Source organism: Homo sapiens, chromosome 7 (genome assembly GCF_000001405.40).
Source record: "Homo sapiens chromosome 7, GRCh38.p14 Primary Assembly".
Classification (NCBI taxonomy): domain Eukaryota; kingdom Metazoa; phylum Chordata; class Mammalia; order Primates; family Hominidae; genus Homo; species Homo sapiens.
The window spans coordinates 148,615,974-148,627,076 of record NC_000007.14 but is presented as its reverse complement, the minus strand read 5'-3'; the positions used below and the strand labels follow the sequence as shown (position 1 = coordinate 148,627,076).

Genomic DNA, 11,103 nt, shown 5'->3' with positions numbered 1-11,103 from the left:
CCCAGGCTGGAGTACAGTGGCGCCACCCTAGCTCACTGCAGCCTTGAACTCCTGAGCTCAAGCAATCCTTCGGCCTCAGCCTCCCAGGTAGGTGAGGGTAGCTGAGGGACCACAGGCGTGAGCCACTGTACCCAGCAGTAAACATTTCTTTAGGATAGATTCTAAAGAATGAATTGGGTCAGAGGATATGCATGTTTTAAATTTGGATTGATACTGCCTAGCTGCCCTTTCAAATAGCTTTTTAAATTTATATTTGGGCAAGTTATTTATTTTCTGTGACCCTTTGTTTCCTCAAGTATACAAATTCAATGTAGTCAAACCTACTGCATGGGATTGGTGATATGATTAAATGAGAAAAACAGTGTAACAACGCTGCTTGGAATGTGGGCGGTTTTTTTTTTTGAGACGGAGTTTCACTCTTGTCGCCCAGGCTGCAGTGCAGTGGCACGATCTCAGCTCACTGCAACTTCCATCTCCTGGGTTCAAGTGATTCTCCTGCCTCAGCCCCCCGAGTAGCTGAGATTACAGGTGCCCGGCACCATGCCCAGCTAATTTTTTGTATTTTTGGTAAAAGACAGGGTTTTGCCATGTTGGTCAGGCTGGTCTCGAACTCCTGACCTCAGGTGATCCACCCGCCTTGGCCTCCCAAAGTGCTGGGATAACAGGCGTGAGCCACCACGCCCAGCCAGAATGTGGGTGGTTCTTATCATCCTTACGCCTTAGAATCAGATAGAAGAAATCTATTTTCCTATAACCTTTAGTCTGTTTGGGGAGATTGAGGAAGATCACAACTCTCCTTGTGGGATGTCTTCATACTAGGTACATTTCAGAGGCTAAACATTCTTGGAGGTTACTAAACAAAATGATCCAACACATAGAAGGTAGCGAGAAAGATGGTGGTGTGAATTTTATTGTTAGGCTAGGGGTTCACTTAACAAGCCTGTGTAAGGATCACCTGACTCTCTTGGAGAATACAATTTAACTTCCTATTGGCTAATGAATAGGGCCCAGGCATTTTTGCAACAAAAGTTAGATGTTAATATGTAGTAAATTGTTACAATAAAAATTATTTTTGTCTAATAATAATGCCAATTATTTCTGTTCATTAGAGAAAAAACCCTAAAGATTATAGTTTATTGCTCTGTAGAACAATGATGAGTTTTAGTATTTAATAATTTTATTCTAGCCTTCTCTTTGATGGGAAATATGTACATTCGTTTCTTGCATCTGCCTTTGAATCATTTTGTCATTCTGTTTGTTCCCTCATTAGCGAGCTGAAAATAACCTTGACATATGCTCTTATGTATATGTGTTGTTTTAACATTTTGAAAATTCTACTTTTAACAGTACTCAAGATCAGACCATGCTACTGCTTTCACTCCCTGCAGATGGTCATATTTTTGAGGCCTTCATTCATTTAATTGTCTTTTTTGTGTTATCTCTAAATTCTCCATGGCTCTGGACAGTAATTAAACATAAAGGAGAGAAGTTCTCCCGCCAGCTGTCCTGCGTCACTCCTTCAGTTCTCAGCTTAGATTTCCTGTCCTTGGGAAGCTGTCATCATCCTTCTATCTTTACACCCCATGATTTACCCCTTGCAGTGTACTTATTACACTGTATTGGAATCGCTTCTTTTCTCTTTCTCTGTGAATTTCTTGAGAGCACAGACTACATTCTGCTTAACTTTTTATCCCCAGCTTTCAGCACAGTGCCTGGCTGTAAGTACTCAATAAATATTTTGAATGAATACTTTATGGGCTAAATGTTACATCAGTCTTATTTTGTGTGTTCAAGGGTGCTAAATAATAGTCACATATAATTTATTGTTCTAACAATAGCAATGGCAATCTTTAGCTTGTGTGCTCCTTGTAGACCTTCCTTTTGGGGATTGTAGTGGTGGTGCATTTTTGCATAACCAAGTCTTCATCTTATATTAGTTGTTTTGGTCCCTTCCATAATATTTTCAGAATACTGCTCCTTTAAGACTGGTGAAAGCCTGCTGGTGGAGGAAGAGGTCCTGCCACTGAACAAAGTGTCTGTGTAGATTTAGCTACACCCATTTGATGTGCTTCTTAGTCTCGTTTAACTTGCCGATTCATATATCCCTGTCTCATTTGTTCTTAGATTTGTCACGAAGCCTCTGGTTTTTGGCTTGTCCTGGTTTGAACTTGGTGTATCTGGCTCTTGACTCATTTTCTGACCTCAGACCATCCTTAAATCTGCTTTTCTACTTTGTACCAGGCTTTGGCGTCTCCAAGTACCTGACCTCAGCTCAACCTGTCTTGGGTTTTCTTCTCCTCCCTGACATTGACAACCCAGCCCTCCTAGGCACAGAGAGATGGAGCTGAGTGTGGTTTTCCTGAAATAAAGCTTGCATTATGAGAGGGAATAAACAGGTACATAGTGTTTTAGACGGCAGCATTTTAACTTCATGTAGGCATTGTTTTCATGACAATTTTCTTTTGTTTCTCCTTTTGTTATGAAATATGCATTTCGCCAATATTAAATGGAATATTCCAGAAGAAAAAAATAGTAAGTAAAATCTTGCTTGCCTCTCAGTAAAATAAAGCTCTATTTTTCGTTTTTTTTTTTTCCAACTTCCTGTACAAAAAAGGGAAAACTTTAGCTTTTGGGGGAAATTTGGAGCTAGCCTGTTGGTACTGTTGAGCTTAGTGTATCTATAACTATATATTATTCCACAATATCTTAAATACTTTATAAAGATATTTTCATAAATTACAGCAATCCTGGCTTTAGATGATTGATGGCCATTTTTAAACAATTAAAGCTAATTTCTAGCTTTTTATGAGTTTGGTATTAAGCACAGTAGTTTCTTAGAAAGTCTCCAGGGAATGCATTTTGCAAAATAAAAATCAGCTAATGACCCAGGAAAGCCTCTTCATGCTTGTTTACAACTTTTTAAAGTGGCTCTTTTCAAACGTCAGGGTTTTTTTTTTCTCAGTCACTAGATGAAAAATTATAGAAACCATCACATCCAGTCAATTGGTTGCTGTAATTCCAAAAGATTTAGACAAAGTGAAGAAAGCTTACCCACTGGAGGGCATGTAATGTCACCGGCATGTGACGAGATGTGCATATTTGTGGTGGACCGGGTGCTTGATGTGAGAAGTGCTGGCAATGAGGAGTCAGCCTGGCCCAAATAACCACAAAAAAGAACAGATTTCAGACAGGCCGTTTTACAGTTTCCCACTTGTTCTTTTGCCAACTTCCAGCCACTTCTTTCTCTAGCACTGATCAAACAAAACAAACGATCATTCTGGAAAAGTTCTGAAAATATAGGTCACTTGTTTCTTTTTGTTATCTTTAATCTGCTGTGTATCGACTTACCTTTCCACACTGATCCACTCAATTTACGTTTAAATAAAGTTTTCAAATTAACTGCATGCTAAAAAAATAAGCTAATTAGGGGGATGAAGGCTGTTAAAACATGTGTTGTCTTTTCTTCATTGCGATAAAGATCGAGGTGACCAGCATTTTTTTTTTTTTTTGAAACAGAGACTCACTTTGTCACCCAGGCTGGAGTGCAGTGGTGCCATCTCGGCTCACTGCAACCTCCACCTCCCAGGTTCAAGTGATTCTCCTGCCTCAGCCTCCTGAGTAGCTGGGATTACAGGCTGCGCACCACCAAGCCTGGCTAATTTTTGTATTTTTTTGGTAGAGACAGGGTTTCACTGTGTTGGCCAGGCTGGGGGGTGACCAGCTTTTACAAACAGCCTGTAAAATGTTTTTCATTGTAGCCACAGCCAGTTCTGATATTGTCCTGAAACCGCTCAATATGTAGCACACCTGCCATAAATTTTTTTAACTTGATTTTTATTAGAAAATCCTGATTCACATTCACTAGAATAAAAAAGAATCTGGAGAGAGTGTTTCAGTCTTCTTTCTTATTGATTTATTTCTCTCCCACATGGCTGTATTTTCACAGCGGCACCATCTGTCAATTAAGCAACGGCTCTGCGTAAGCAGTAAAACCAGAGGGTGTGCTTTGCCACAGGGGCGAGCTTGTTTGTTGAGGGATACAGGCTTTTGGAGAAGTAGCTTCTCATTCAGCCCTCAGGCTTTTGTGGGGAATGCATTTTAAAACTCTGCAGACCCAGATGGAGAGCCGGAGTTACAAAATGACAGTGTTTTCAGGATTCACTCTCAGAATCTTCCTCTTGGGTATTTCTAACAATTTATTTCCTTTATTATTTCAAAAACAGAGTTTTCTTCTAGTCAACAATAATGCGTAATGCACTTAAAACATTTGTTAAGAGGGTAGAGCTCACGTTAGGTGTTCTTACCACAATAAAATATTTTAATAAAATGGTTTTTATTAAATTATTTTAAAATTTACTTTATCAAATATTGAATATACTCAGAATATCCTCTAATAATATTGGAATAGATAACCTTATCCCTGATCATTTCACACTTACATGGGAATATTCATAAAATAAATTGCTAGTAGTGGGACTGCTGGAACAAATGTACATGCATTATAATTTTGATAGACACTGCTAAATTGCCACAGGCGTTTGACCAATTTACACTTCCACCAACAATGTGTGAGAGGGTCTGTTTTTTGATGGCCTTAGTGACAGGATATGTTACCAAGCTCTTAGATTTTTGCCAATTTGATAGGTGAAAGCGATGTTTCAGTGTGGTTTAACTGGCATTCATATTTTATGAGTGAGGCTGAATATCTCTTTTTTTTTTTTTTTGAGACGGAGTCTCGCTCTGTTGCCCAGGCTGGAGTGCAGTGACGTGATCTCGGCTCACTGCAGCCTCTGCCTTCCAGGTTCAAGCAATTCTCCCGCCTCAGCCTCCTGAGTAGCTGGGATTACAGGCACCCGCTGCCATGGCCAGCTAATTTTTGTATTTTTAGTAGAGACGGGGTTTCACCATGTTGGCTAGGATGGTCTTGATCTCCTAACCTCATGCCTCAGCCTCCCAAAGTGCTGGGATTACAGGCATGGGCCACCACGTCCGGCTGAGGTTGAGTATCTTTTATATGTTTTAGAGCCGTTTGTATTTTGTTTTTTGTAAATCGTTCATTCCTACCTATACTTTGCCAACTTTTTTATTGGGTTGTTGATTTTTAAAAAATCATTTTGTAGCTGCTCATTGTGTGTTAGTGAGCTTAACCCCTGGCCTGGGAAATAGAAAATGTACTCCATTCCTACGCTCCTGACAAGATAGAGGAGAAAACAAAAGCAGTTTCTCCTACTATGCTCTCACAACACAGATCACTTCTGACACCAGATGTGGAGACTGATTTGAGTAATAATAAAACTGCTCTTGCACACAGCTGGCTCTGTATGAATTCCTCCTTCTCTATTGTAATTCCCCTGTCTTGAGAAATTGGCTCTGTCTAGGCAGTGAGTGGGCAAGGTGAACCTGTTGGGCAGTTACACAGGAACCTCCATATGTTTGGCCATCTGGAAGCTCTATCAACCTGTCCTTTTTTTTTTTTAATTTTTATATTCTTTTTAAAAAATTATTTTACTTTTACTTTCTCTTCTTTTGGGATTTTACGGAAACTTCATTACATAGGCATGATTGATTAAGTCATTGGCCACTAGTGACCAGTGTAACCTCTAGTCCCCCTTTCCTCTTAGGAGGTGGGGGGCTGGGGCTGGAAAGTCTGAACAATGGGAGGAGGATAAAAATGCCAGGTGTCGCAGCACATGAAGTCACAAAAGATGTATACAGAACCAGATGTGAGATAAAGGTCAGGGAGTTTCAGGACCAAATTTGTGAATGTCGGGTTTGTTCTAATGCCGATGTTACAAACATACATGATAGCTTAAGTGAGCTCTGCAGGGCTGGACAATCTGTGAATGCCACATTTAACAAGACTGGAGAGAGGCTGGGTGCACATAACTCAAGGAGGTGCTGAGGGTTGGTCAGACCCTAAGAAATGGGTGAATGTCATGGTCAGTGCTTTAATATCAGGAATATGTGCATAGTTCAAGGAAGTGGTTGAAATCAGGCAGGCAGAAATCTGAAGGTTAATCAAGAGAGGCAGTAGGTCGAAGGTCAGATAACAGTCAGGAGCCAGGGACTTTCCAGGAACTAAAGGGCAAGGCCAGATGAGGCAAGGCAGTAAGTCAGCAGGAAGGTGAGTGAACAGCTAGCAGACTGGACACACAACAGAGGTGAGAACCAGACAAGGGGACTGGGCAACGCCCAGCTGAACGCTAAATTAACTCTTAGTCATCCCAGCCAGGAAGCCTCTGCTGACATTTCTTACTAGAGCAGAAGCTAACTATTGTGGCAGTGGGGTTTCACGGGAGACAGCAAAAAGATGAAGTGCTTGTGCTTGAGTCAAAGGGGCAGCTGGAAGGGCGGATGCTGATCACAGCCCATCCACCAAGGAGCCTTCTGTCTCCTGGCATGCGCAGTTTGTTTCTCTAAGGGGGATCCTAGGGCTGAGTTTGGTTTTGTTCCTGGGTGCCACTGATGGCTCCAAGGAATGTCTCCCTCTCCTTGAGAGGTGTCAAGAATCTTCATCTGGGGAAATAGTGCCCCAGGCTGATTTGGTTTGAAAAAGAATATGGACAGAGTCTTGGATTACTCATTTACTAAGTTTTTATTTTGAAAAATTTCAAACCTACAGAAAAGCTTCAAGAATGGTAGAACAAACTTCTATAGAACCGTCAACAGATACTTAACCAAAAATATGTCCTATTTGTCCAAACCTCTTGCCAGATTGTAATATCAGAGGAACTGGAGAATCCCGAAATCTAGGACTCATGGAAATCGTTAATGGCACATTCTGAGAAACAGAAGCTTTTGCTGGGTTCAGGGGATAGAATAGGAGCTGCTTCTTTTTTTTTTTTTTCTCCTCACTCTGTCGCCCAGGATGGAGTGCAGTGGCATGATCTCGGCTCACTGCAACCTCCGCCCTCCGAGTTCAAGCAATTCTCTTGCCTCAGCCTCCTGAGTAGCTGGGATTACAGGCTCCTGCCACCACGCCTGGCTAATTTTTTGTATTTTTAGTAGAGATGGGGTTTCACCATCTTGGCCAGGCTGGTCTTGAACTCCTGACCTTGTGATCCACCCACCTCAGCCTCCCAAAGTGCTGGCATTACAGGCATGATCCACTGTGCCCGGCCAGGAGCTACTTCTTATATTGCAGGATGTAGGTTTCCAGGTTGCTGGGGGCCCAGGAAGGGCTTCAGGGAAACAGGTGCATGTGTTTCCTGAGGCTTTAGGAGATGGAATGGACAGGTGTTCTCAAGTTCATGATATAGAAGGAGTAGACTTTACAGACACCCAGGGGTCAGGGGCCCCAGAAGGGATGAGTCTTTTTCTTTTCTTTTCTTTTCTTTTTTTTGAAACAGAATCTCGCTCTGTCGCCCAGGCTGGAGTGCAGTGGTGCAATCTCGGCTCACTGCAGCCTCTGCCTCCCAGGTTCCAGCGAATCTCCTGGCTCAGCCTCCCGAGTAGCTGGGATTACAGGCACACGCCACCACGCCCAGCTAATTATTGTATTTTTAGTAGAGATGAGATTTCACCATGTTGGCCAGGATGGTCTCAAACACCTGACCTCAGGTGATCCACCTGCCACGGCCTCTCGAAGTGCTGGGATTACAGGCATGAGCCATTGTGCCCGGCTGGGATGAGTCTTTTCAACCAAAAGGGGTGATTTTCGGAGATCAGATACACATCTAGTAAGGGAGAATGCAGTTGATTGTAGGAATGTAGGTCCTCAATCTTCCTAGCAATGTTCCTTTAATGACTTTCAGAAGCCTCCAAACCCACAGTTCCTCCTTTGCAGCAGATGACTTTGTGTCCTACTTCATAGAGAAAATAAACACTATTAAAGAGACACTATTAGAGCACTCTAAACAAAACTGCATTTACAGGCAGCTAAAATGGGAGAAGTATGCCTGTTCCTTTGTAAAGCTCTAGTTCCATCCCGTCAACCTCACTGGGGAGACTGCTCCACACAGGATCCATTTCTCCTCCTGTATCTTTCTTTCTTTCTTTCTTTCTTCTTTTTGAGACAGGGTCTCACTCCTAACACCCAGACGGGAGCGCATTGGTGCACTCTTGGCTTACTGCAGCCTGGATCTTCTGGGCTCAAGAGATCCTCCCATCTCAGCTTCCTGAGTAGCTGGGCTACAGGTGCCCACAACCATGCCCGGCTAATTTTTGCATTTTTACTAGAGAGGGTTTCACCGTGTTGCCCAGGTTGTTCTCAAACTCCTGAGCTCAAGTGATCTGCCCGCCTTGGCCTACCAAAGTGCTGGGATTACAGGTGTGAGCCAGTGTGCCCTGCTTCCTTCTGTATCTTTCATCTCTACCTCTTCACCTTATTGACTTGAGCGATTAAATATGCTAATTTCTTCCATCCTAAAAATCTTTTTCCCATCGTACCCACTGCAGGTAGAGGTTTCAACAACAGCAAAAACCTTAGACATCTGCATTCTCAGAGATCCCAAAAGTCTACATCTAGGAACTTATTGTAAGGAAATCAGCATTGTAGATACTTTAAAGATCTGAAATACAATGATGTTCTTTGGTGATATGGTTTGGCTCTGTCCCCACCAAAATCTCATCTTGAATTGTAGTTCCCATAATCCCCACGTGTTGTGGGAGGGACTAGGTGGAGACAACTGAATCATGAGATCGGCTTCCCCGATCCTGCTCTCCTGATAGTGAGTTCTGACGATATCTGAGGTTTTATAAGGGGTTTTCCCCCCTTTTGCTCGGCACTTCTCCTTCCTGCCACCATGTGAAGAAGGACGTGTTTGTTTCCCCTTCCACCGTGATTGTAAGTTTCCTGACGCCTTCCCAGCCCTGCTGAGCTGTGAGTCAATTAAACCTCTTTCCTTTATAAATTACTCAGTCTTGAGTATGTCTTTATAAGCAGTGTGAGAATGGACTAACACAATTGGAAAGAACACAAATGTCCAGTGAATGTGGATTGGCTACATAATGGTGCACCCATACAGCAGAATACAATGCAGCCACTAAATAATATGTTTCAAAGGAATGGCATGGAAGTAAACTGACATCTTGTTAAGTGAAAAGCTAGTTATAAAACAGTTTGCAGTAGGTCAGGCATTGTGGCTCACATCTGTAATCCCAGCACTTTGGGAGGCCAAGGCGGGCGGATCATCTGAGGTTGGGAGTTTGAGACCAGCCTGGCCAACATGGCGAAACCCTGTCTCTACTAAAAACACAAAACTTAGCTGGGCGTGCTGGTGTGCGCCTGTAATCCCAGCTACCCTGGAGGCTGAGGCAGAAGAATCACTTGAGCCTGGGAGGCGGAGGTTGTAGTGAGCTGAGATAGAGCCATTGCACTCCAGCAGGGCGACAGAGCGAGACTCTGTCTCAAAAACTACTATCACAACAAAAACCAGTTTGACTCCATTTTCTAGGACATAAGGACATGCATAAAAAATAGTTTACTAATTTAGGGTTGGTGAGTGTGGTTAGAATTTTTAAAAAATTTTTCTATTTGGTTGTTTGAGCCCTACCCACTGTAGTAGCAGGAAACCCAGCCTTTCACTACTGTGGTCCCTGGTATCCTTCCCTTCTTCCTCCCTCCTCCCTTCTTTTTCCTTTCTCTCCTTCCATGGATTGACCAAGAGCCTTGAGCTTGCCTGGGTTCAAGTCCCACATTCTAGCTGTGTGTGACCCTAAGCTCGTTTTTGGGCTCCTCATCTGTAAAATAGGACCTCTCTTTTAGGACTGTTGTCCTAGAAGATTAATGAAATGATACATGTAAGAACTTAAGACAGTGCCTGCAACACAGCTATCTCTGGAAGTTGTTGTTATTATTATTACATAATGTTTTCACAGTTGATAATGGTTTGGCTCTCTGTCCCCACCCAAATCTCACCTCTAATTGTAATCCCCACATGTTGAGGGAGGGATCTGTAATTCCCATGTGCTGAGGGAGGGATCTGTAATTCCCATGTGCTGAGGGAGGGATCTGTAATTCCCGTGTGCTGAGGGAGGGATCTGTAATTCCCGTGTGCTGAGGGAGGGATCTGTAATTCCCGTGTGCTGCGGGAGGGATCTGTAATTCCCGTGTGCTGAGGGAGGGATCTGTAATTCCCGTGTGTTGAGGGAGGGATCTGTAATTCCCGTGTGTTGAGGGAGGGATCTGTAATTCCCGTGTGTTGAGGGAGGGATCTGTAATTCCCGTGTGTTGAGGGAGGGTGGAGATTGGATCATGGGGGCGATTCCCCCATGCTGTTCTCATGATAGTGAGTTCTCATGACCGCTGACAGTTTTAAAGTGTGGCACTTCCTCGTTTTTGCATGCCCTCTCTCTCCTGTCGCCTTGTGAAGAAGGTCCCTGCTTCCCCTTCCGCCACGACTGTAAGCTTCCTGAGGCCTCCCCAGCCATGCGGAACTGTGAGAGTCAATTAAACCTCTTTCCTTTATAAATTACCCAGTCTTGGGGATTTCTTTGTAGCAGTGTGAGAACAGACTAATACAATTGTTATCAGTTGAATTGTCTCCCCAAAATTCATATACTGAAGTCCTGACCCCTAGAACCTCAGAATGCAACTGTATTTGGAGATAGGGCCTTTAAAAAGGTAATTAAGTTAACATGAGGTCATTTGAGTAGACCCTAATCCAGTGTGACTGGTGTCTTCATATGAAGAAGAGATTAGGACACAGACATGCACAGAGGGACGACCATGTGAGGACGCAGGGAGAATGGCCTTATACAAGTCAAAGAGCCTCAGAAGGCTCTGCCCATGCCCTGGTCTCTGATTTCTATCCTTCAGAACTGTGAGGATATGTGCCTCTGTTGGTTAAGCCCGTCCCCCAACCCCGCTCTGTGGTACCTTGCTAGGGAACCCTTGCTGACAAACACAATATTATCACAGAGTAAAGAAGCGGCCAAACTGCATTTCAAACTGGTAGGATTTCCCCTCCTGCACACTCAATATGGTGGTTTCCAAATGATTTGAGGTCAGGAGTTCGAGACCAGCCTGGCCAACATAGTGAAACCCCATCTCCACTAAAAATACAAAAATTAGCTGGACGTGGTGGCAGGCACCTGTAATCTCAGCTACTCGGGAGGCTGAGGCAGGAGAATCGCTTGAACCCGGGAGGCAGAGGTTGCAGG

General features: G+C 43.3%; 1 long non-coding RNA gene across 1 annotated transcript; it reads left to right on the top strand.

Annotated features, from left to right (window-relative positions):
• Positions 1 to 1,636: 1,636 nt before the first annotated feature.
• LOC105375557 (uncharacterized) lies at positions 1,637 to 2,737 on the top strand. The gene is made up of 3 exons (XR_001745397.2): positions 1,637 to 1,718; positions 2,242 to 2,396; positions 2,521 to 2,737. It is a non-coding gene; the product is annotated as an uncharacterized LOC105375557 (long non-coding RNA).
• Positions 2,738 to 11,103: the final 8,366 nt, after the last annotated feature.